Source organism: Homo sapiens, chromosome 7 (genome assembly GCF_000001405.40).
Source record: "Homo sapiens chromosome 7, GRCh38.p14 Primary Assembly".
Taxonomy (NCBI): domain Eukaryota; kingdom Metazoa; phylum Chordata; class Mammalia; order Primates; family Hominidae; genus Homo; species Homo sapiens.
Window position 1 is genome coordinate 55,725,155 of NC_000007.14, and position 25,563 is coordinate 55,750,717.

The 25,563-nt window shown below is 52.3% G+C and overlaps 1 protein-coding gene and 5 pseudogenes across 4 annotated transcripts, besides 1 other annotated feature; 2 read left to right on the forward strand and 4 right to left on the reverse strand.

Annotated features, from left to right (window-relative positions):
* On the forward strand, positions 6,870-7,859 carry SUMO2P3 (SUMO2 pseudogene 3; annotated as a pseudogene).
* On the forward strand, positions 11,586-15,349 carry CICP11 (capicua transcriptional repressor pseudogene 11; annotated as a pseudogene).
* LOC107986799 (putative uncharacterized protein FLJ44672) lies at positions 15,412-16,986 on the reverse strand (annotated as a pseudogene).
* Positions 16,646-17,145: an enhancer, noted in NCBI's record as "H3K4me1 hESC enhancer chr7:55809493-55809992 (GRCh37/hg19 assembly coordinates)". NCBI's record gives its function as "activates a minimal SCP1, AML or CMV promoter by ChIP-STARR-seq in naive H9 embryonic stem cells {active_cell/tissue: H9 hESC(naive)}" and the evidence as "EXISTENCE:reporter gene assay evidence [ECO:0000049][PMID:30033119]".
* LOC100419984 (uncharacterized) lies at positions 17,223-18,374 on the reverse strand (annotated as a pseudogene).
* Positions 18,555-21,435, reverse strand: LOC101928755 (putative uncharacterized protein FLJ44672; annotated as a pseudogene).
* Positions 21,299-25,561, reverse strand: LOC101060341 (putative uncharacterized protein FLJ44672). Of its 4 annotated transcripts, XM_017012925.1 has the most exons (4): positions 25,443-25,561; positions 23,286-23,485; positions 23,001-23,058; positions 21,299-22,891 (listed from the first exon to the last, which is right to left on the reverse strand). In XM_017012925.1, exons 2-4 carry the CDS (start codon positions 23,347-23,349, stop codon positions 21,694-21,696), a joined length of 1,320 nt encoding a protein of 439 aa, XP_016868414.1. In that variant the 5' UTR covers positions 23,350-23,485; positions 25,443-25,561; the 3' UTR covers positions 21,299-21,693. The 4 variants fall into 4 exon arrangements, with proteins under 4 accessions (XP_016868414.1, XP_016868416.1, XP_005271850.1 ...); XM_017012927.1 differs by lacking the exon at positions 23,286-23,485 and having other exon boundaries at positions 21,299-22,908; XM_005271793.4 differs by lacking the exon at positions 23,286-23,485 and having other exon boundaries at positions 25,443-25,557.
* Positions 25,562-25,563: the final 2 nt, after the last annotated feature.

A 25,563-nucleotide genomic window follows, 5' to 3' on the forward strand; every position in this document is an offset into this window, starting at 1 on the left:
GAGGGCAGAGATTTCTGTTTTATTCACTGTTACATCCTTGGCACCTGCAAGAGTTGGTACTCAGTAAATACCTGTTGGATGAATAAATGAATTCCAGCCTGGCCAAGGTGGCGAAACCCCATCTCTACTAAACATACAAAAATTAGCCAGGTGTGGTGTTGCAGACCTGTAATCCCAGCTACTCAGGGGGCTGAGGCACAAGAATTGCTTGAACCCAGGAAGCAGAGGCTGCAGTGATGTGAGACTGCATCACTGCACACCAGCCTGGGCAACAAAGTGAGACGCTGTCTCAAAAAAAAAAAAAAAGAATGAATAAATGAATGAATATACAAAATGAAGTTGACCCCTATTATTGAGTTCATGATTCTTTTATTTAGTTAGGTAGTTTTTGAGACGGAGTTTAGCTCTCGTTGCCCAGGCTGTAGTGCAATGGCGCGATCTCGACTCACCGCAACCTCCACCTCCCAGGTTCAAGCGATTCTCCTGCCTCAGCCTCCCGAGTAGCTGGGATTACAGGCATGCGCCACCACACCCGGCTAATTTTTTGTATTTTTAGTAGAGACGGGGTTTCTCCATGTTGGTCAGGCTGGTCTCCAACTCCCTCAGGTGATCTGCCCGCCTTGGCCTCCCAAAGTGCTGGGATTACAGGCATGAGCCACCGTGCCTGGCCGAGTCTGTGATTCTTTTAGAGCAGTGGTCCCCAACCTTTTTGGCCCCAAGGACCAGTTTCATGAAAGGAATTCACTTTTTCCGTGACCGGGGTGGGGGGATGGTTTTGGGATTATTCAGATACATTAAATTTATTGTGCACTTTATTTCCATTATTATTACACCGTAATATATAATGAAATAATTATACAACTCACCATAACGTAGAATCAGTGGGAGCCCTGAGCTTGTTTTCCTGCAACCAGGTGGTCCCATCTAGGGGTGATGGGAGACAGTGACAGATCATCACGCATTAGATTCTCATAAGGAGCACATAACCTAGATCCCTCCCATGTGCAGTACACAATAGGGTTCATGTGCCTATGAGAATCTAATGCCCCTGCTGATCTGACAGGAGGCCGAGCTCAAGCAGTGATGTGAGCAATGCGGAGACACTGTAAATACAGATGAAGCTTTGCTTGCTCACCTGCTGCTCACCTCCGGCTGTGCAGCCCGGTTCCTAACAGGCCACAGACCACAACAGGTCCATGGCTCAGGGGTTAGGGACCCCTGTTTTATTTATTTATTTACTATTTATTTATTTTTGTAAATTGATATCCCATTTCAGTACCCCTGTTTTAGAGCAATGGTTGTCAAAGTGTGGTCCTCAGACCAGTAGCATCAGCTGGGAACTTGTCAGAAAAGCAAATTCCTAGGCCCTATCCCAGAGCTACTGAATCGGAAACTGTAAAACAAGCTCTCTACATGATTCAGAAGTATATGTAGTTTAAACACTACTGTGCTAGAGCATCTAGAACTCTGTATACCCAAAAAGGTATGTGGTAGGCACATAATAATATTTATCAAAAGACAAGCCTGGACCTGGGGGTCTGCAGACACACCCCTGAGCTCCTCCCCAGTGAATTTTCGTCATCCTTGGGTCTTATCCCTGCCATCCCAGGATTCCATCCTAACCTCCCCCACACACAGACACAAAAACATATAGTTAAACCTTCTCTGTGCTTTCATAGCTACTTACCTTTCTTCTATCATATACATGGGTGGACTACAGACCATAGATTATGGCCATGAACTACCTGGGTTCAAATCTCCACTCAACCACTTAGTAGTTATGTTCCTTGGGCAAATCATTTGAACTTTCTGAGCCTCAGTTTCTTCATTTGTAATGAGGTACCTACCTCACTGTCTTGTGAAGTTAAACAAATTATTCTAAGATTAAATGAGTTAACATATGTGAAGGCACATGGTAAGGACTGTGTGTGAACTCTATGAGAGACAGAGTGTGTGCTACTGTCTTACTGTACTTATCGCACTATGTTGTAATAGCCTAGGCTGTAAGTGGTAGGGATGGGGAAGAAGCATACTAGACTAGGACTAGTCTCTGTCTTGAGGGATAGATGCTGAAAAATGTTTGATGAAGGGATGGTAGATCCTCCATGCTCTTTCAACTGCCCTACACTGCCTCACAGTGGCTGCCAGCCCTAGAGATGCTCTAGATAGTAGGACAACTTGTTCTACTGGAATTAATTACCATCAGCTCAAGCAAGAAATTCTTCCCTATGAAAGAAGCACATGAAAGAAGATACACAAATGGTCAATACGCACATGATGCTCAACATCATTAGCCATTAGAGAAATGCAGATCAAAACCACAATGAGATATCATTTCACACCCACTAAATGGTTATAATCAAAGACACAGGCCAGGCGTGGTGGCTCACGCCTGTAATCCCAGCACTTTGGGAGGCCAAGGGGGGCAGATTGCTTGATCTCAGGAGTTTGAGACCAGCCTGGGCAACCTGGTGAAACCCTGTCTCTACTAAAAGTACAAAAATTAGCCAGGTGTGGTGTTGCATGCCTATAATCCCAGCTACTCCGGTGGCTGAGGCAGGAGAATCGCTTGAACCCCAGAGGCAGAGGTTGCACTGAGCCAAGATTGCACAATTGCACTCCAGCCTGGGTGACAGAGCAAAACTCTATCTCAAAAAAAAAAGAAAAAACTTTCTGATTGTAGTCTATTAAGTCTATTAATGGCACTGACCACCAAAAAGTACTTTTGCATGTCATCTTTGTGTTGTCAAACAATACCTTGATTTTGAAGTATATAATCATTGATAATAAAAATTGTTATATATTTTATTGACATGAATTCAGACATTCAGTTCATTCACTACACATATACTTTGGTCCAGTCTTTGCTTCACTTATGTCTCTGTGGCTTCAGGCAAGTCAGGTAACTTCTTACTTCCACCCTTGACTGTAAAACAGATGATACTTATCTTGCCTACTGACCTCTTACGGCAATTTGGGGAAATACCTTGGTGCTGAATTAGTTTCTAGGCTCAGACGCTAAACATACAATACATATTAATTGGTAAAGACTTGGGATTTGAAACTTGATCTTTTGAACTAGATGCCAAGAAGTCCAATCTTCATGACAACTCTGTATAAGGTCATAGGTATAATCACTACTTTACAGAAAAAATAAACTCCAGCCTGGGCAACTGAGTGATACCCTGTCTCAAAAGAAAAACAAAAACCAAACAAAAATTAGCCAGATGTGGTGGTGTGTGCCTGTAGTCCCAGCTATTTGGGAAGCTGATGTTGGAGGATCGCTTGAGCCCTGGATGTTGAGGCTGCATGAGCCATGATTGCACCACTGCATAATTGGCCTGGGTGACAGAGAGAGACCTTGTCTCAAAAAAAAAAAAAAAAGGTAGAGCAGGGCGGCCTGCACCTGTAGTCCCGGTTCAGCTACTTCGGAGGCTGAGGTGGGAAGATCATCTTCAACCTAGAAGATGGAGGCTGCAATGAATTGTGATCACACCACTGCACTCCAGCCTAGGTGACAGAGTGAAAGCCTGTCTAAAAATATATATAAAATAAAATAAAAACGAATGTCTGCTCGTGGTGGCAGGATCTAGGAGCCTGTAGTCCTAACTACTTGAGAGCCTGAGGTGGGAGGATCTCTTGAGCCCAGAAGTTCAAGTCCAGCCTGGGCAACATACCACGACTCTGTCTCAAAAAAGAAAAAAAAATCTTGCTATTAAAAAATGTCACAAATTTTTTAAAGACAAATGATAAATTAAAAAAATACTTGGCCAGGCGCTGTGGCTCACGCCTGTAATCCCAACACTTTGGGAGGCCAAGGCGGGCGGATCTCGAGGACAGGAGATCGAGACCATCCTGGCTAACACGGTGAAACCCCATCTCTACTAAAAATACAAAAATTAGCTGGGCGTGGTAGCGGGCACCTGTAGTCCCAGCTACTCAGGAGGCTGAGGCAGGAGAATGGCGTGAACCCGGGAGGGGGAGCTTGCAGTGAGTTGAGATCGCACCACTGCACTCCAGCCTGGCGACAGAGCAAGACTCCATCTCAAAAAAAAAAAAAAAAAAATACTTACGGCCAGGCATGGTGGCTCACACCTGTAATCCCAGCACTTTGGGAGGCTGAGGCGGGTGGATCATGAGGTCAGGAGTTCAAGACCAGCCTGGCCAAGATGATGAAACCCCGTCTCTACTAAAAATACAAAAATTAGCTGGGCGTGGTGGCAGGCACCTGTAATCCCAGCTACTCGGGAGGCTGAGGCAGGAGAATCACTTGAACCTGGGAGGTGGAGGCGACAGTGAGTCCAGATCACACCACTGCACTCAAGCCTGGGTGACAGAGCAAGACTCTGTCTCAAAAATAAAAAAGAAAAGAAAATAGAGAGTGTACTTTCACTTGGACCAAAGGCTGCACCTCCCCAATCTATAGATTGTTTCTCAGAAAATAGAAGGTCTCAATTTTCCTCAAAAAAAGAAAAGAAAATTAAGACAATGAAGTACATTGTTACAGCATTTAAAGAGATGCATGATTTTGTTTTGTTTTGTTGTTGTTTTGGTTTAGTTTTTTTTGTTTGTTTTTTATTTTGAGACGGAGTCTCGCTCTGTCACCCTGGCTGGAGTGCAGTGGCGTGATCTCGGCTCACTGTGAGCTCCGCCTCCCGGGTTTACGCCATTCTCCTGCCACAGCCTCCCGAGTAGCTGGGACTACAGGAGCCCGCCACCACGCCCGGCTAATTTTTTTGTGTGTTTAGTAGAGACGGGGTTTCACCGTGTTAGGCAGGATGGTCTCGATCTCCTGACCTCGTGATCCACCCGCCTCGGCCTCCCAAAGTGCTGGGATTACAGGCGTGAGCCACTGCGCCCTGCCAAGTTTTTTGATACCAAGTAACAGAACTCCAAATTTCACATAGGGAATTAAAAAAAAATCATCTGAGGAATACCAGAGGTTTTCACTCAATTGAGGGGTTGTATCCAATTCAGAGAAGTGGCCAGGTTTCCCCTGCTAGGAGGAGTGCAAGAATCACTAGAACCAATATGGCTGTTTGCTGACATGCTCTGTCTCCATTTCTTGTTTCTGCAGGTTTGTATATGGGCTTTGTTCTAAGATGCAGGTTGTCTTCTGCCACATATCAAAAAACAACGCCCTTGACATCTCTTAACTTGAACATCTGGCAGCTCCATTATCAGAAACTAGGTCTTTCCCAGCATCAGTGTTTTACGTCACTGGCTTGGGACTGCAGCCCTGCCCACCAATCAGCTATGAGCAGACCAGTGCTTTGTAGTGCAGACTTAACTACCAGAGCCCACCCCTGTGGTTTGGAAATCATTCCCCAGAAGGGGAAACCACAAAGAGTTAAGAGTAACTTGTAGAAGAATTTGACCATATGTAACAAAAGCTCTATGAATGGGTATAAGCTTGACCCAGCAATAGCATTTCTACCAATTTACCCCAAGGAAGTAATTAAGAATACATGCAGAGACTCAGCTGTAAGAATATGCTTTACAGTATCATCAATAATGGAGAGAAATAATCCAATATGAAACTTTCAATTAATTATCATACATCTACACAGCCATCAAAGTAGTGTTATAAAAATATACTTATTGATATTGGAAACTGTTTATTTTTAAAAAGCATATTAAAAAACGGTCAGCCGGGCGCGGTGGCTCACGCCTGTAATCCCAGCACTTTGGGAGGCTGAGGCGGGCGGATCACGAGGTCAGGAGATCGAAACCATCCTGGCTAACACGGTGAAACCCCATCTCTACTAAAAATACAAAAAATTAGCCGGGCGTGGTAGCAGCTGCCTGTAGTCCCAGCTACTCGGGAGGCTGAGGCAGGAGAATGGCGTGAACCCGGGAGGCGGAGCTTGCAGTGAGCCGAGATTGCGCCACTGCACTCCAGCCTGGGTGACAGAGCAAGACTCCGTCTCAAAACAAAAACAAAGGCCGGGCGCGGTGGCTCAGGCCTGTAATCCCAGCACTTTGGAAGGCTGAGGCGGGCGGATCACGAGGTCAGGAGATCGAGACCATCCTGGCTAACAGGGTGAAACCCCGTCTCTACTAAAAATACAAAAATTTAGCCTGGCATGGTAGCGGGCACCTGTAGTCCCAGCTACTCGGGAGGCTGAGGCAGGAGAATGACGTGAACCGGTGAACCCAGCTAATTTTTTGTATTTTTAGTAGAGACGGGGTTTCACCGTGTTAGCCAGGATGGTTTCGATCTCCTGACCTCGTGATCCACTCGCCTCGGCCTCCCAAAGTGCTGGGATTACAGGCGCCAGCCGGCCAATAAACTGTCTTTAAACAGAAACACACATAAAACAAGATTATGTATTGATCAGTTGAGGGAATATTGTGACCAAAGCCTTGCAGAAACCTAACCCAGAATTTCTCCTAAAAGCAATGGTTCAGTGTTTGCTAGTTCAGTATTTGCTGGGACTTTATAACAAAATTACTACATATAATGAGAACCGACAGTATGGGGCCGGGCGCAGCGGCTCACACCTGTAATCCCAGCACTTTGGGAGGCTGAAGCAGGTGGATCTCCTGAGATCAGGAGTTAAAGACCAGCCTGGCCAACATGGCGAAACCCCTTCTCTACTAAAAATACAAAAATTAGACGGCTGTGGTGGCACACACCTGCAGTCTCAGCTACTTGGGAGGCTGAGGCAGAAGAATTGCTAGAACCTGAGAGGCGAGGTTACCGTGAGCTAAGATCCCGCCACTGCACTCCAGCCTGAGCAACAGAGCTAGACTCCATCTCAAAAAAAAAAAAAAAAAAAAAAAAAAAAAAAAAAAAAAAAAAACTGACACTATCCTGACACTATCTAGGAATGGAATTTCTGGATCATATGAAACCCGACTGGTAGCTCTATCCTCGCCCACCACTGCCGCCTCCTTCTGCCGCTCCTGGTGCTGCTTGTGTGCTCGTTTGGTGCGGACCTGGTACCTCTTTTGTGAAGTGGCAGCTGAGGAGACCGGCGCTCGCCATGGCCGACGAAAAGCCCAACCAAGGAGTCAAGTCGGAGAACAACGATCATACTAATTTGAAGGTGGCGGGGCAGGATGGTTCTGTGGTGCAGTTTAAGATTAAGAGGCATACACCACTTAGTAAACTAATGAAAGCCTATTGTAAGCAACAGGGATTGTCAATGAGGCAGATCAGATTCCGATTCGACGGGCAACCAATCAAGGAAACAGACACACCTGCACAGTTGGAAATGGAGAATGAAGATACAATTGATGTGTTCCAACAGCAGACGGGAGGTGTCTACTGAAAAGGGAACCTGCTTCTTTACTCCAGAACTCTGTTCCTTAAAGACCAAGATTACATTCTCAATTAGAAAACTGCAATTTGGTTCCACCACATCCTGACTACTACCATATGGTTTTCTCTGTTCTTTCATTTCCCCCTTCCCCATTCCTTTATTGTACATAACTGGTATATGTGCACAAGCATATTGCATTTTTTTTAACTAAACAGCCAATGGTATGTTTTGATTGACATCAAGTGGAGACGGGATGGGGAAAAAGTACTGATTCTGTGAAAATACCCCCTTTCTCCATTAGTGGCATGCTCATTCAGCTCTTTATATTCCAGTAAGTTATTTTGCTCTCACTGTTTTAACAACAAAAAAAACACACAAAAATCCTTGCATACCTTGTTCAATTGCAGAATTTTAATGTTTTTCACTTATCATTGTAAAACCAAGGACAATTTTATAACTTTTTTGTACATAGCTGTTACATGTAGGGCAATCTGTCTTTAAGTAGGGACAAATTAAAACAAAAAAAGAAACCTAGATAGTTTTCCCTTCAAGTCAAGCGTCTTGTTGTTTAAATAAACTTCTTGTTTAAAAAAAAAAAAAGAAAGAAAGAAAAGAAACTCCACTGGTAACTTTCTGAGGAACTGCCAAAACTTCACTTTATAGTTTTGTAGGTTGCAAAAAAATAATCTGATGTCCAAGATCACCAGAGGAACAACACCTGTTCCCCCCTCCTATCCAATGGTCTCTCTCCTGAGTGCACTGACTTACTTGCAGAGGAGGAATAAACACAAAAGAAGAAGAAAAAAGCAAGTCAAAGGACATAAATATGGCTCCCTGTGACTTCTCTTATGGAGGTGTGCCCTACTTCACAGTCTTTTATACACAGACAGAAGATAGTCACCATTTTGGACTTTCTCTTTGTTCTGCTTTTTTGGTTTTTTTACTTTTTCTTACTTTCTTACTTCTTTGTACTGACTCATACGTCTCCACATTACAAATGTAATAAATTAACTAGATGCAACAAGAAACAGACTAAACAAGGCTGAAAGCAAATTAATGGCATGGAAGAAAGTATGATCTGAAGCCAGGTGTGGTGGCTTAGGCCTGTAATCCCTGAGTAATCTCAAAAAAAAAAAAAAAAAAAAAACAGAAAAGAAAAAAAGAAAAGAAAGTTTGTGATCTGAGAGACCAAAATAGACACCACTTTATCGACTAAGTTGCACTCAAAGCTTCAGGAAATGAAGTTACCTACGGGCAGAGGGTTCAGGGCCTGGCTGGCATGGCAAATGTCTAAATTCCTTTGGCTAAACTCCCTAACAATAGGAGCTATCAATTCTGATTTACAACCCAGACCACTACAACTCTGATTGGACAGGGGACGGGCCTCACAAACATTCTTTTCTGATAAGCTACTGCAGGCTTTTGGCCAGTTTCAGCAGCTTATAGAGGATTTGCACGAACTGTCTGTGTATCCTGTAGTTCACTTTTTGTTGTAAAGAGCCAAATTCCATCTCGTTTTAATGCTAAAACTCAGTCTCAAAGTAAATGTGGGATGTGTGTGACATATGTGTTTACCCAATTCCCTTATAAATATGTATAGCATTTCCCTCAAAGCTGCTGAATATGATATGGTTTGGTGATATACTTTGGCTGTGTCCCCACCCAAATCTCATCTTGAATTGTAGTTCCCATAATCCCGACGTGTGGTGGGAGGGACCTGGTGGGAGGTAATTGAATCATGAGGGTTGTTATCTCCATGCTGTTCTGGTGATAGTGAGTTCTCACCAGATCTGATGGTTTTATAAGGGGCTTTCCCCTCATTGCTCAGCACTTCTCCTTGCTGCTGCCATGTGAAGAAGGACGTGTTTGCTTCCCCTTCTCCCATGATTGTAAGTTTCCTGAGGCCTCCCTAGCCCTGTGGAACTGTGAGCCAATTAAACTTCTTTCTTTTATAAATTGCCCAGTCTCAGGTATTTCTTCATAGCAGCATGAGAATAGACTAATACAATATGTATGATACTGGCCTTATGAGACTTAACTAACTCTCAAGCTATCCTTCTCCTCTTCTAAGAGAGTGCACCTTCCAGCCACATCAGAGCCATAAGCCAAAAAAGAAAAAGAATTCTAAGCAATAATAAAAAAGAGGTGAGCAAAAGGGAGTAGTGGGAGAGAGTGTAACAGTGATGAAGTCCTCACAGACCTTCTTGGAATTGGATATCTGCAGCAGTCTATCAAAGAGAAAGTTTTACCATGTACCAGGATATCAATGGATGCTTTAAAAGTGGAAATATGTGGTTAAAACTGAAAGAAACCAATATTCTTCTGTAATATACTAGGGATTGTAGAGCTGAAGAAGATTAAAGGGCAGAGGACACTCTACCCTTCCCTCCGCTTGCCTGATGGCAGGACGGCAATTTACAAAGACAAAAGGTTTTCCTGCCTCCTCTCTGCCTTTCCCACCTAAAGATAGGATTTGAAGGGTTTGCTTATAAGCTCATAGACAAAAGCGCCAGAGACTTTTCTCTTCCCATAGATTATTAACCTTCCGACATTTTCCCACCTTTTGGAAACCTGAAGATGCTCTCTTGTCACTATAGGATTTATGAGTCTTTGTTAAAATACTATTTAAGCAAGGCCCCTAAGCCACTGCCTTGAGAAAGAAATCCACTTGAACTGAGAAGCCTTTCCTGTATGATGGGTACAGCAATGACTCAATAAACTTTTTTTTTTTTTTGACATGGAGTCTTGCTCTGTTGCCCAGTCTGGAGTGCAGAGGCACGATCTTGGCTCACTGCAACCTCTGCCTCCCAGGTCCAAGCGATTCTCCTGCCTCAGCCTCTTGAGTAGCTGGGATTACAGGCGCCTGCCACCACACCTGGCTACTTTCTGTATTTTTAGTAGAGATGGGGTTTCACCATGTTGTCCAGTCTGGTCTCAAACTCCTGACCTCAGGTGATTCACCCGTCTCAGCCTCCCAAATTGCCAGGATTACAGGCATGAGCCACAGTGCCCAGCCAAACTTCTGCTGACTTTTATTTTTAGGAGGCTATTTCACCTAAGAACCTATGAGGGCAAGAAAATAAAATATATTTTCTCCCCTAGAAAACACAGAATCACTCTTAAGAGTTGTGTGTGTGTGGCTGTCTGTGTATGTCTGTATGTGTGCTGTGAAACATGCCCATTTAGTAGTTTTTATAAACATAATCATTTTTCTTCATGTTAAATGACTCTTTTGGGAATTAATATCTCTAGTAGTAAAAAAAACTTCTTTAATTTCACAAATATGTCATTTTCTGTTAACTTTAAGTAAAATAAAATTTAGTAATTTCTATTTTAAGAAGCATGTGTGAATACTCTCCCTTTCATCTCTGTATTACTCTAGCTACCTATGTCTTTAAAAAATAAATAAAAAAATAAAAAATAAAAAACAGGGTCTCACACTGTTGTTCAGGCTGGAGTGCAGTGGTGCGATCATGGCTCACTGCAGCTGTGACTTCCCGGGCTCAAGTGATCCTCCCACCTCAGCATCCCAAGTAGCTGGGACTACAGGTGCGTGCCACCATGCTCAGCTAATTTTTGCATTTTTTGTAGAGATGGTGTCTCATTATGTTACCCAGGCTGGTCTTGAACTCCTGGGCTCAAGCGATCCTGAAACCTTGGCCTCCCAGAGTGCTGGGATTATAGGCATGAGCCACCACTAGGTCTACTTTAAAAGAAATGCTTAACGGAGTTTTTCAAGTAAAAATGAAAGAAAGCAGCTGGGTATGGTGGCTCATGCCTGTAATCCCAGCATTTTGGGAGGCCGAGGAGGGTGGATCACTTGAGGTCAGGAGGTCAAGACCAGCCAGGCCAACGTGGCAAAAACCCACGCCTTCTGAAAATACAAAAAATTAGCCAGGTGTGGTGGCGGGTGCCTGTAATCCCAACTACTCAGGGGGCTGAGGCAGGAGAATCAATTAAACCATGAGGCGGAGGTTGCAGTGAGCCGAGATCACACCACTGCCCTCCAGCCTGGGTGACAGAGCAACACTCTGTCTCAAAAAGGAAAAAAAAAAGAATGCTAATTAATCACATGAAAGCATAAGAAAATATATAATATTCAGCAGTAAATGTGCATATACTTGGGAGGCTGAGGCCGGAGAATTGCTTGAACCCAGGAAGTGGAGGTTTCAGTGAGCTGAGATCGCACCACTGCACTCCAGCCTGCCAAACTGCATCTCAAAAAAAAAAAAACAAAAAACTTGAGGCCTGGCCTCGTGCTCCCCTCCCATCCCCCATTCCGTGGGTCCAAGCTGCCTTGGCTGAGGAGGGAGCTGAGGAGGTGTGAGCCCCTGCCAGGAACCCCCTGCCCAGACCATGTACTTGGCCCACAGGCCCCTGATGTCTGCGTCCAGCGAGGCGTCCGGTGGCGTCAGCATGTTTGTGTGGAGGAATGTGGAACCTTGTTCTGTGGCTGTGTTCTCCTGGTACTCTGTCCCCTTCCTGACCCCTCCCTGCAGCCGCGTGAGGCCCAGCAACCTGCCAGTCACTCAGTGGCCTCCAACCAGAGCAAAGAACCTGCCAAGTTGGCAGCTGTTGCTCACGAGTGTCCACCAGGTGGGACAGGGAGTGCTGACCCTGGGCGGCCCCCTGAAGCCACCTGCCCTGAAAGCCCAGGGCCCAGAACCCCACACACTTTGGGGGTGGTGGAACCTGGTAAAAGCCCACCTCCTACCATGGAGGAGGAGCCCTGGGCCCCTCAGGGGAGTCCCTGCTGGACAGTGAGACAGAGAATGACCACAATGTTGCTTTCCTCTCTGTCATGTCTCCTGACACCCAGTTGCCTCCACCACTCAGATGATGTCAGGCCCAGTCCCTCAGTGCACTGCGCAAGGAACAGGACTCATCTTCTGAGAAGGATGGACGCAGCCCCAACAAATGGGACAAGGACCATATCCGGTGGCCCATGAGTGGCGTTCATGATCTTCAGCAAGCGGCACTAGGCCCTGGCAGGGCGCACCAGGGTCACCCCAACCAGGATAACCGGACCGTCAGCCAGATCCTGAGCGAGCGGTGGTACACCCTGGGGCCCAATGAGATGCAGAAGTACCAGACCTGGCCTTCCAGGTGAAGGTGGCCCACTTGCAACAAGGACCGAAAGAAGTCCAGCTCAGAGGCCAAGCCCACAAGCCAGGGGCTAGCAGGAGTGTACAAGGGCTCATGGGAGCAGAGCATATCAGAGACGGGCACTGCCACTGCCCCTGGGGTGTCCTCTGAACGCCTGTCAGTTGTGGCCCAGACATTCCAGAGCTCGGATACCAAGGAGCAGCTTCTGTGGGGCAGGACGGCTGCACACAGTCAGGGAACCTGGCTCAGCCTGGCCCAAGCCTTCTCCCACAGCGGGGTACTCAGCCTGGACGGCAGGGAAATAGACCGTCAGGCACTACAGGAACTGACACAGGTGGTGTCTGGCACTGCATCATACTCTGGCCCAAAGCCTTCTACTCAGCATGGAGCTCCAGGCCACTTTGCAGCCCCTGGTGAGGGAGGTGACCAGTGGGCAGCCCTGCTGCTGCCCACCTGAGCTGCTCATTCCCAGCACATGGCCAGTGAGGACACAGCGAGTGACGAGGAGCCCATGGTCATCCATGAGGAGGAGGGGGTGATGATGTCATTGCTGATGACGGCTTTAGCACCACTGACACTGATCTCAAGTTCAAGGAGTGGGTGACCGACTGAGAGTGGGGACGACTCTGGGGAGGAGCCAGAGGGCAACAAGGGCTTTGGTGGGAAGGTATTGGCACCTGTCATTCCTTCTTCCTTTACTCCTGCCACCCCTTGCTCGATCCTGAGCCCCCAGGGTCCCCCGATCCACCTGCAGTTTTTGGCAAAGTCTATGGTCCCACCCCGTCCTCCTCCTACACACTCCTATGCTTCCTCCTCAACCTTGGCACCCACCTCCTTACTGGGCCCAGGAGCCTTCAAAGCCCAGGAATCTGGTCAGGGCAGCAGAGCGGGCCCCCTATGGCCCCTACCCCTGGGGATGGGGGCCCAGGGATGCCTTCCAAGGCGACCTGTTTCCTCCCAATGGATCCTGCCACCTTCTGGTGCAAGAGACCTGAAAGTGTGGGCGACCTGGAGCTACCAGGCCCCTCAGTCATCACGGTCCCTCCCAACACTAAGGCTTTCCTAGGCAGGAGCTGGGCTGAGCCACCCGGGGGGCAGAGCCTGAAGAGGAGAAACTGACTGGGCTTTGGGGGTCGGGGCAGAGGGAACCCCACGGACATGGATCCCGCACTGGAGGACCCCACCACGCTCAAATGCAAGATGAGAAGATGCTCCAGCTGCAGCCCAAAGCCCAACACCCCCAAGTGTGCCATGTGTGATGGGGACAGCTTCCCCTTTGCCTGTACAGGTGGGAGAAGCCGAGGACGGGCTCAGGGAACCGGAGACCGAGAAGGCGGTGTCCTCTTCACTGCACGTGCCCTGGACCAGTGCCGGCCCTGATCATGCAGCTCTTCCAGGCCCACTGCTTCTTCCTGTCCACTAGGCCACAGCCGCCCTCCAGGCCCACTATGCACACATCCTCCCCTCCAAGGTTTCTTCTGCCCCTGCCCTGACTCCCAGCCCTGTGGGGGTCCTGACCCCACCTCACCTGGCTAGACTCTGACGCTGCCCTGGCTGCCCCACCACTGCCTCTGCCCAAGAGTCACGTGAGGCTGAGAGTAGGGGCAGGGGCAGCAGTGGTGCCAGTTGGGGGGCGGTCCAGTGGGAGGAGCCTCAGCCTCGGGGGCTGCTCCGTGGGACTGATGACTGCATGATCTTCTGGGCACCTCACGGATCTTCAACTGCAGGTGAAACGGATGCTGGTGGTGGGTGCAGGGCCGCTGGGAGCCGCTGCATGGGTCCCAGAGGCTGGACTGCGGCAGGTGCCAACTGAAGCTGCTGGGGAAGCATGAGCAGGATGTTCTGCACACAAACCTTGGAGAAGACGTGTGCATAGCGGGTCCACTGCTGCTGCCCCTGCCCTGACTCCCAGCCCTGTCTGACCCCACCTCACCCTGCTCAGGCTCTGGCGCAACCCTGGCTGCCCTGCCACTGCCTCTGCCCCAGAGGTGGGACCTTGACAGCCTGGCTGGAAGGGGACACCCTAGCCCTGCTTCAACACCTGGGTCCCTCCATAACTACCACAGGCAGGTGGGCGACCCCAAAGAAGATCCCAGGACTCACAGTACCCCCTGAGAACATGGACAGTATGTGGGGGTAGCAATGGAGGGCAGGATGGTTATCTTCTCCTGGGTAAAGCCATTTAATCCTTTCAGTTTGGGACGGAATAAGGCCTGCCTCTCTTTTTTCTTTTGAGACGGAGTCTTGCTCTGTCGCCCAGGCTGGAGTGCAGTGGTGCAATCTTGGCTCACTGCAACCTATTCCTGCCGGGTTCACGCCATTCTCCTGCCTCAGCCTTCCAGGTAGCTGGGATTACAGGTGCATGCTACCACGTCCGGCTAATTTTTGTATTTTTAGTACAGACAGGGCTTCATCATCTTGGCCAGGCTGATTTCGATCTCCTGACATCGTGATCCACCTGCCTCCACCTCCCAAAGTGCTGGGATTACAGGTGTGAGCCACCACACCTGGCCAAGGCCTGCTCCTCTTATATATACCCCCTAGCCCTGCAGCTGTGCCGGGGGAAAGCTGGGCAGTTTCCCTCCTCCAAACCCCTGTACATACCATGAAGTGTGGGACCTTCAGAGCTTTTCACTTTTCGGAAAATAGCTCCTGCTGGGGCTACAAGATGGAGTGTGAAGAGGGCCTTGGGCCACAGGGAGGCGCCTGTGGACTAGGGGGAGTTCATGCACCCCTTCTTTCCCCAGAGGGGCTGGACTCAGGTGAGTATGGGGGCGGGGGCTCCTGCACTTCGACAAAGGCAGCGGGAGGGTTTTCTCCCCATTCCCTCTGCACTCCCAACTTGAGCTGTACTTTTTAAGAAAGTGATTCACCCTGCCTTTGCCCCCTTCCCCAGAACAGAACACGTTGATCATGGGCGGTATTTTTCATTGTGCCAAAAAGTTGCCATGACTGTCATTAAACCTGTTTAACACCAAATAATAAGGAAAATAAAATAAAAAATTCGGGCTTGGTGCAGAAACTCACTCCAAATACATTACCTTTAAAAATATTTATATAATGGTAGAAATATTCCAAAATTCCATATTTTGAGATTTATACACAAAAGATAAACAAATTAGAGGCCAAGAAAAACGGGGCCTGGAAAGGCCGTTGTGAGGAATGAGCTGGGCCTAAAGAGGCCACTGGCAGGCAGGAGCTGGGACTGCCAAAGCGGCCGAAAGGCAGGAGCTTTGGACTGGGGAGGCCGCAGTGAGGCGAGAGCTAGCTGGGCGTGGAGAGTCCACTGTGAGGCTGAGGCTGGGCCTGTGCAGGCCTTCGAGAGGCAGGAAGCCAGGCCTGCAAAGGCCGACTGGAGGTCAAGTTCTGGGCCTGAAGAGGCCACCAAAAGTCAAAAGCGGGGCCTGGGAAGGCCACTGAGAGCCACGAGCTGGGCTGGGCCGAAAGAGGCCACTGGGAGGCAGGAGAAGCTGGGCCTGGAGAGGCTGACTCGAGGAAGTTTTGCACCGGGAGAGGCCGCCGAGAGGACGGAGCTGGGCCCGGGGAGGCCAACTTGCAGCTCTTCCAGGCCCACTTCCAGGCCAACTTAAGGACGACTTAGGCCTGCAGAGGCCGCCGGGAGGCTGGAGCTGGGCCTGGAGAGGCCGACTTCAGCACGATTTAGGCCTGCAGAGGTCGCCGGGAGGCCCAAGCTGGGCCTAGAGGAGCCCACCGACCGGAGGCCGTTTGGGGCCTGGAGATGCCGTCGGAGGGCAGGAGCTGAGCCTGGCGAGGCCACCGTGAGGCCTGACCTGGGCCTGGGGAGCTTGGCTTCAGGAAGTTGTGGGCCTACCAGGGCCACTGGGAGCTGGGCGGGAGCTGAGTCCAAAGACATTGTTGGGAGGCCGGAGTCGGGCCTGGAGATGCAGCCGGGAGGAAGAGCTGGGCCCGGAGAGGACGCCGGGAGGCTGCAAGTGGGTCTGGAGAGGCTGACTTGAGGAGGCCCGGCCTCTGCCTCCCTCATGGCGGCCTCTGCAGGCCCAGCTGTTCCTCCTGGCTGCATCTCTCGGCCCAGCTCCTGCCTCCCAGCAAGCAAGCTCTTTTGGCTCAGCTCCCGCCGGCGTTTGTAGACCCCGAAGTTTCTGCAGCCAAGCTCTTCAGGCCCACATCCTGCCTCCCAGTGGCCTGTAGAGTCCCAGCTCTGGCAGCAGAAGAGCATCTGCAGGCCCCGCTGTTGCCTCCCAGGGGCGTCTCCAGGCCCAGCTCTCGCCCCACCGCGGCTTCCCGGGGCCAAGTCCCTGCCTGCTCCCGGCAGCCTGCGTGCAGTCCTGCTCCTCCCTCACAGTGGCCTGTTGAGGCAGGGGCTCACGCTGACCTCTCTCTGCGTGGGAGGGGCCGGTGTGAGGCAAGGGGTCAGTGTGGGAGGGGCCAGTGTGAGGCAAGGGGCTCACGCCCACCTCTCAGCGTGGGAGGGGCCGGTGTGAGGCAAGGGGTCACGCTGACCTCTCTCTGCGTGGGAGGGGCCAGTGTGAAGCAAGGGGCTCACACCGACCTCTGTCAGCGTGGGAGGGGCCAGTGTGAGGCAAGGGGCTCATGCGGACCTCTCTCAGCGTGGGAGGGGCCGGTGTGAGGCAAGGGCTCACGCTGACCTCTCTCGGCATGGGAGGGGCCGGTGTGAGGCAAGGGGTCAGCGTGGGAGGGGCCAGTGTGAGGCAAGGGGCTCATGCGGACCTCTCTCAGCGTGGGAGGGGCCGGTGGGAGGCAAGGGCTCATGCTGACCTCTCTCGGCGTGGGAGGGGCCGGTGTGAGGCAAGGGGCTCACGCTGACCTCTCTCTGCGTGGGAGGGGTCGGTGTGAGGCAGGGACTCACGCTTCTGGGCAGGGTGCCAGAGGCATGAGTTGGGCATCAACAGGCCACCGTGAGGGGGGAACTGGGCCGCACGCGGGCTGCCGGGAGGCAGGCAGGGACTTGGCCCCGGGAGGCTGCCGTGGGGGCGAGAGCTGGGCCTGGAGAGGCCCCTGGGAGGCAAGAGCGGGGCCTGCAGAGGCTGTTCTACAGCCAGAGCTGGGCCTGTACAGGCCACCGGGAGGCAGTAGGTGGGCCCGAAGAGCTTGGCTCGAGAAAGTTCGGGGCCTACAAAGGCGGCTGGGAGCTGGGCAGGAGTTGAGCCAAAAGAGCTTGCTTACTTGCTGGGAGGCAGGGCCGGGAGACGCCGACTTCAGGACGACTTGGGCCTGCAGAGGTCGCCAGGAGGCCCAAGCTGGGCGTGGAGGAGCCCACCGACCGGAGACCATTTGGGGCCTGGAGACGCCATTGGAGGGCAGGAGCTGATCCTGGAGAGGCCACCGTGAGGCCTGACCTGGGCCTGGGGAGCTTGGCTTCAGGAAGCTGTGGGCCGACCAAGGCCGCCAGGAGATGGGCAGGCGCTGAGTCCAAAAAGGTTGTTGGGAGGCAGCAGTCGGGCCTGGAGACGCAGCCGGGAGGAAGAGCTGGGCCCGGAGAGGATGCCGGGAGGCTGCAAGTGAGTCTGGAGAGGCCGACTTGAGGAGGCCCGGCCTCTGCCTCCCGCATGGTGGCCTCTGCAGGCCCAGCTGTTCCTCCTGGCTGCATCTCTCGGCCCAGCTCCTGCCTCCCAGCAAGCAAGCTCTTTTGGCTCAGCTCCCGCCGGTGTTTGTAGACCCCGAAGTTTCTGCAGCCAAGCTCTTCAGGCCCACATACTGCCTCCCAGTGGCCTGTAGAGTCCCAGCTCTGGCAGCAGAAGAGCATCTGCAGGCCCCGCTGTTGCCTCCCAGGGGCGTCTCCAGGCCCAGCTCTCGCCCCACCGCAGCCTCTCGGGGCCAAGTCCCTGCCTGCTCCCGGCAGCCTGCGTGCAGTCCTGCTCCTCCCTCACGGTGGCCTGTTGAGGCAGGGGCTCACGCTGACCTCTCTCCGCGTGGGAGGGGCCAGTGTGAGGCAAGGGGTCAGCGTGGGAGGGGCCCGTGTGAGGCAAGGGGTCAGCGTGGGAGGGGCCCGTGTGAGGCAAGGGGTCAGCATGGGAGGGGCTGGTGTGAGGCAAGGGGTCAGCGTGGGAGGGGCCGGTGTGAGGCAAGGGGTCAGCGTGGGAGGGGCCGGTGTGAGGCAAGGGGTCAGCGTGGGAGGGGCCGGTGTGAGGCAAGGGGTCAGCATGGGAGGGGCCGGTGTGAGGCAAGGGGTCAGCATGGGAGGGGCCGGTGTGAGGCAAGGGGCTCACGCCGACCTCTCTCAGCGTGGGAGGGGCCGGTGTGAGGCAAGGGGCTCATGCCGACCTTCCTCAGCGTGGGAGGGGTCGGTGTGAGGCAGGGACTCACGCCTCTGGGCAGGGTGCCAGAGGCATGAGTTGGGCATCAACAGGCCACCGTGAGGGAGGAGCTGGGCCGCACGCGGGCTGCTGGGAGGCAGGCAGGGACTTGTCCCCGGGAGGCTGCCGTGGGGGCGAGAGCTGGGCCTGGAGAGGCCCCTGGGAGGCAAGAGCGGGACCTGCAGAGGCTGTTCTACAGCCAAAGCTGGGCCTGTACAGGCCACCGAGAGGCAGTAGGTGGGCCCGAAGAGCTTGGCTGGAGAAAGTTCGGGGCCTACAAAGGCGGCTGGGAGCTGGGCAGGAGTTGAGCCAAAAGGGCTTGCTTACTTGCTGGGAGGCAGGGCCGGGAGACGCCGACTTCAGGACGACTTGGGCCTGCAGAGGTCACCGGGAGGCCCAAGCTGGGCGTGGAGGAGCCCACCGACCGGAGACCATTTGGGGCCTGGAGACGCCATCGGAGGGCAGGAGCTGATCCTGGAGAGGCCACCGTGAGGCCTGACCTGGGCCTGGGGAGCTTGGCTTGAGGAAGCTGTGGGCCGACCAAGGCCGCCAGGAGATGGGCAGGCGCTGAGTCCAAAGAGGTTGTTGGGAGGCAGCAGTCGGGCCTGGAGACGCAGCCGGGAGGAAGAGCTGGGCCCGGAGAGGACGCCGGGAGGCTGCAAGTGGGTCTGGAGAGGCCGACTTGAGGAGGTTCTGGGCCCGGAGAGGCCGCCGGAAGGGAAAAACTGGGCCTAGAAAGGCCGTTGTGAGGAATGAGCCCCATGGGCCTGAAGAGGCCACTGGCAGGCGGGAGCTGGGCCTGCCGAAGCGGCCGAGAGGCAGGAGCTTTGGACTCAGGAGGCTGTAGTGAGGCGAGAGCTAGCTGGGCGTGGAGAGTCCGCTGTGAGGCTGAGGCTGGGCCTGTGCAGGCCTTCAGGAGGCAGGAGGCCGGGAAGGCCGCCGGGAGGCATGAGCTGGGCTGGGCCAAAAGAGGCCACTGGGAGGCAGGAGGAGCTGGGCCTGGAGAGGCTGACTCGAGGAACTTTTGCACCCGGAGCGGCCGCCGAGAGGCCGGAGCTGGGCCTGGGGAGGCCGACTTGAGGACGACTTGGGCCTGCAGAGGGCGCCGGGAGGCTGGAGCTGGCCCTGGACAGGCCGACTTGACGACAGTCTGGGCCTGCAGAGGCCGCCGAGAGGAAGAGCTGGGCCTGGAGAGGCCGACTGGAGGAAGTCCAGAGCCTGGAGAGGATGCAAAGCAGCAAACGCTAGGCCTGGAAAGGCTGCCCTGAGGCACGGGCTTGGCCTACAGAGGCCACTGGGAGGCAGGAGCTGGGCCCGCAGAGGCTCCCGAGAGCGGGGAGCATTGCCCCAGGAGGCCACGGTGAGAAAGAGGTGGGCCTGGAGAGCCCACTGTGAGGTAGAGGCCGGGCCTGTAGAGGCCGCTGACAGGCAGGGGCTGGGCCCGTTGAGGCCACCAGAGGCATGAGCTGAGCCTCAACAGGCCAGTGTGAGGCAGGAGCTGACACTTGGGCAGGTTGCAAGAGGCATGAGTTGGGCGAAAAGAGGCCACCGTGAGGGAGGAGCTGGGCCTGTACAAGTTGCCGAAAGGCAGGAGCAGCTTTGGACTGGAGAGGCAGCAGACAGGGAAGAGCTGGGCGTGGAGTGTCTGCTGTGAGGCAGAGGCTGGGCCTGTACATGCCCTTGGGAAGCAGGAGGCTGGGCCTGGAGAGGCCGACTTGAGGAAGTTTTGCTCCTGGAGAGGCCACTTAGAGGCAAGAGCTGGGTGTGAAGAGGCTGACTTGAGGTCGATTTTGGCCTGCAGAAGCCACCGGTAGCTAGGAGTTGGCCCTGGAGAGGCTGACTTGAGGACAGTTTTGGCCTGTAGAGGCCACTGGGAGGGAGAGCTTGGTCTGGAGAGGCCAACTGGAGTAAGTTCAGGGCTTGGAGAGGATGCACAAAAGGAAACGCTCAGCCTGGAAGTGTGCTGTGAGGCATTAGCTTGGCCTACACAGCACTTGGAGGCAGGAGCTAGGCCTGCAGAGGGTGACTTCAGGACGATTTTGGCCTGCAGAAGCCGTTGGGAGGAAGAGCTTGGCCTGGACCGGCTGACTGGAGGAAGTTTTGGGACTGGAGTATGTGTCAAAAAGCAAAAGTTAGGCTAGGAAAGGCCACTTCGCGGCATGATCTTGGCCTACAAAGGCAATTGCGAGGCAGGAGCTGGGCCTGTAGAAGCTGCCAAAAGGCAGGAGCTTGGCCTTAGGAGGCTATGCTCAGGCAAGTGGTGGGCCTGGAGGGTCTACTGTGTGGTAAGAGTCTGGGCCTGTGTAAGCCGACATGAGGCAGGAGCTGAGTTAGGAGAGGCCAACTTTTGGAGAATTTGGGCCTGCAGAGCCTGCCAGGAGGCAAGAGCTGTGCCTGGAGAGTCCGTCTTTTAGCATGACTTGGGCCTAAAGAGACCATTGTGAGGCAGCAGCTGCCTGGGAGGCAGGCAGATTCATGGCCTGGGGAGGCCACCGTGAGGCAAATGCTCAGTTTTCGGAGGATGCCGTGAGGCAGGGAGAAACTTGGCTTTCGGTGGCCGCAGTGAGGGAATAGTTTGATTGCTGAGGCTGCTGGGAGGCCGAAGGTGGGCCTGGAAAGCTTTACTTTAAGAACTCTGTGGCCTACAGAGACTGCCAAGCAGCTCAGCAGGAGTTGGGCCAAAGGAGGTTGTTGTGAGGCAGGAGACGGGCCTGTAGACGCACTGGGAGGATGAGCTCGTCCCGGAGATGCCGAGTTAAGGACATTCTGGGCCTGGACAGGCTGCAAAAGGCAAAAGCTGTGCCTGGAAAAGTCGCCGTGGGGCATGAGCTTGGCCTAAAGAGGCCATTGCAAGGCAGGAGCTGGGCCCGTAGAGGCTGCCGAAAGGCAGGAGCTTCGCCTGAGGATGCCACAGTGAGACACCATCTGGGTCTGGAGGGTCCACTGTGAGGCAGAGGCTGGCCTGTAGAGTCCGACAGTAGACAGAAGTTGGGCAAAAGGCTGATTTGAGGAAGTTTTGGGCTTCAAGAGTCAGCCAGGAGGCAGGCACTAGGCCTGGAAATGGCCCGACAGTCATGAGTTGGGCCTAAATGGGCCACTGTGAGGGAGGAGCTGTGCCTGTTGAGGCTGCTGGCAGGCAGGCAGAAACTTGGCCTGGGGCAGCCGCCATGAGGCAAGAGCTGGGCCTGGAGAAGCCCCTGGGAGGCAAGAGCACGGCCTGCAGAGGCTGTTCTCAAGTCAAAGCTGGGCCTGTTCATGCCACCGCGAAGCGGAAGGCGGGCCTGGAGAGTTTGACTTGAGGAAGTTTTGGGCCTACATTGGCCGCTGTGAGCTGGACAGGAACTGGGCCAAAAAAGGCTGTTGTGAGGCAGCAGTTGTGCCTGTAGACTCAGCCCAGAGGAAGAGCTGGGCCTGGAGAAGCCCCCATGAGGCAGAGGTTGGGCCTGTAGATGCTGACAGGAGGCAGGAGCTGGGCCTGGAGAGGTCAACTTGAGGAGATTTTGGGCCTTCATAGGCCACCAGGAGGCAGCAGTTGGGACTAGAGAGGCTGACTTGAGGAAGTTTTGGGCCTGGAGATGACGTCCTGGGACAGGAGCTGGGCCTGGAGAGGCCACCGTGAGGCAAGAGCTGGATGTAGACAGGCCAGTGTGAGGCAAGACCTGGGCCTGTCTAGGCTGCTGGGAGACAGGCAGGAATCTGGCCAGGGAAGGTTGCCATGAGACAAAAGTTGGGCCTGGAAAGGCCCTTGTGAGGCATGAGCTTGGCCTAAAGAGGCCACTGGGTGGCAGGAGCTGGGTGTGTAGAAGCTGCTGAAAGGTTGGGAGCTTGGCTTGGGTGGTCCACAGTGAGGCAGATGCTGGGCCTGAAGAATCTGCTGTGAGACAGATGTTGGGACTGTAGAGGCTGACAGGAGGCAGAGGCTGGGCCTGGAGAGGCTGCCAAGATGCAGGAGCTGGGCCTGGAGAGGCTGCCAAGAAGCATGAGCTGGGCCTGGTGAGGTCGACTTGAGGAAGTTCAGGGCCTGGAGAGAAGGCTGGGAGGCAGGAGCTGGGTCTAAAGAGGCCATTGTAACGGTGGAGCTGTGCCTGTGGAGGCTGTTGTGAGGCAGTAGCCTCATCTGCGGAGACTGCCGTGAGGTAGGGTATGGGCCTAAATAGGCCATTGTGAGTCATGAGCTTGGTCTGTGGAGGCTGACTGGAGAAAGTTCTGGGCCTGGAGAGGCTGCCGGGAGGTAGGAGTTGGGCCAAAAGATTTAAGCACATTACATTTATTAGGCACTTTATTTCCATTATTACACTGTAATATATAATAAAATAATTATACAACTCACCATAATGTAGAATCAGTGGGCGTGTTAAGCTTGTTTTCCTGCAACTGGATGGTCCCACCTGAGCGTGATGGGAGAAAGTGACAGATCAATAGGTATTAGATTCTCATAAGGACAGCGCAACCTAGATCCCTCACATGCACGGTTCACAACAGGGTGCGTTCTCCTATGAGAATCTAATGCTGCTGCTCATCTGAGAAGGTGGAGCTCAGGCGGGAATGTGAGCAAAGGGGAGTGGCTGTAAATACAGACGAAGCTTCCCTCACTCCCTCACTCGACACCACTCACCTCCTGCTGTGTGGCTCCTTACGGCTCCATGGCTCAGGGTTTGGGGATCCCTGCTCAAGTGCATCCAAAACGACCCTTCCCACACCAGTCTTCACAGTGGTCAAGTGCAGCAACCACTTAGCTCCCAAGGCATGTGCCTCAGCTGGCATTTCGTCACAATCAACAGTAAGTGGTAGCTTGAGTCATTGTGAGGTCACTTCCTGGAAATCACCAGCATCCCATTTCCCACTGGCAAAGAGCTCAGCACTGCCCCCTGGGAAACCAAACCTATGCCCAAATCCCATCTGTGTGGGTTTATCTCCTGGGACCCTTCCTAACATATTAGTCAGAGTCCAATCAGGAAGCATAAACCGCTCAAAAGTTTAAAGTGGTAAAATTTAATACAGAGAATTATTCATTATAACAGGTGAATAGCATAATGAGAGACTGGCTAGCACAAAGTAAAGAGAACTCTAGAGAATATAGGACTAGCCCAGGCCAGGCATGGTGGCTCATGCCTGAAATTCCAGCAATTTGAGAAGCTAATGCAGGAGGATTGCTTAAGGCCAGGAGCTAGAGACCGGTCTGGGCAACACAGTGAGACCCTGTCTCTATCCAAAAAAAGAAAAAAATTAGCTGGGAGTGGTGGTGCACACTTGTAGTCCCAGCTACTCGGAATGCTGAAGTTTGAGCCTGGGAGGTCAAGGCTGCGGTGAGGCATGATTATGCCACTACAGTCCAGCCTGGTGACAGAGCAAGACCCTGTCTCAAAGAACAAAACAACAACAACCATTTACAGACAGAAAAGAAATAGAGCTAATAAGCTAAGGGAAGATGTTGAAATGTGACAAGTAAAGTAATATGAGGTCTTTTATCTATTTAAAATAATCAAACAAAAAATGACTTACTAAATTATAATACCCTGTGCTGGCAAAGGTGCAGTGAAATGGGCACTTTCTTATACTATGAGGGGTGTTTAAATTGTGTATAAGCCTTCCAGGGTAAAGCTTGTCAATTTTTTAAAATAATAGAGACAGGGTCTCACCATACTGCCATACTGCCTCCTCCAACTCTTGGCCTCAAGCAATCCTCCTCTCTTAGCCTCCCAAAGTGCTAAGATTATAGCTGGGAGGCACCCAAAACCTTGTCCATTTACATCAAGGGTAAGGAGAATGTCCATTCACCATGACTCACAGTAATCTTACTTCTGGGGAGACAATTCAATCTCAACAAAAGGTCATCTGTACAAACACAGTAAAAATCTGGGGAGTAACTGAAGACAGAGTTGGTAAGTGAAATAAGAAACAGCTATAAGAAATTAAACTATGGTATCAATAGGCACCTGGTAAAAGGTCAGTTGATGTTAGCTGCTACTTTTTTGTTGTTCTGAGACAGGGTCTCACTCTGTCACTGAGGCTGGAGTGCAGAGGCCTGATCATGACTCACTGCAGTCTCAGCCTCCCTGGGCTCAAGTGATCCTCCCAGCTCAGCCTCCCAAGTAGCTGGGACTACAGGAACATGCCACCACACTAGGCTAATTCATGTATTTTTCTTTTTTTTTTTTTTTTTTTTTTTTTTTTTTGAGACGGAGTCTCGCTCTGTCGCCCAGGCTGGAGTGCAGTGGCGCGATCCCGGCTCACTGCAAGCTCCGCCTCCCGGGTCCACGCCATTCTCCTGCCTCAGCCTCCCAAGTAGCTGGGACTACAGGCGCCCGCCACCACGCCCGGCTAATTTTTTGTATTTTTAGTAGAGACGGGGTTTCACCATGTTAGCCAGGATGGTCTCGATCTCCTGACCTCGTGATCCGCCCGCCTCGGCCTCCCAAAGTGCTGGGACTACAGGCGTGAGCCACCGCGCCCGGCCAATTCATGTATTTTTCTGTAGGGATGGTGACTCCCTTTGTTTCCAAGGCCTATCGCAAACTCTTGGCCTCAAGCCATCCTCCTGCCTCAGCCTCCCAAAGTGTTGCGATTACCAGTGTGAGCCACCACACCTGGCCAGCTGCTACTTTTATCAATATTATTATTATTCCACTCAATTAAAAATTATTATTTTCAAGGCTATGCAACAGTATGTATCCTACAGCGTAATTGTAAAAACATATACAGTCGTCCCTCAGTATACAGAATTAGTTCCAGCCCCCCATCTCTGCATATACCAAAATCCATGCTTACTCACGTTTCGCTGTCACCCCTCTGGAATCCACATATAGGAAAATTCCAAATATTAGTTGGGCATAGTGGCAAGCACCTATAGTCTCAGCCACGTGGGAAGTTGAGATGGGAGGATCGCTTCAGCC

Excerpts from the sequence above, each read along its gene's own strand:
- LOC101060341 (XM_017012925.1), bottom strand. The coding sequence starts at position 23,349 with ATGCACTTGAGCAGGGATCCCCAAACCCTGAGCCATGGAGCCGTAAGG. Across the intron at positions 23,059-23,285 it reads AAGGAGCCACACAGCAGGAG|GTGGGACCATCCAGTTGCAG; the intron begins GTGAGTGGTGTC and ends CATCACGCTCAG. Across the intron at positions 22,892-23,000 it reads CCCACTGATTCTACATTATG|CCTCTCCAGGCCCAGAACTT; the intron begins GTGAGTTGTATA and ends ACCTCCCGGCAG.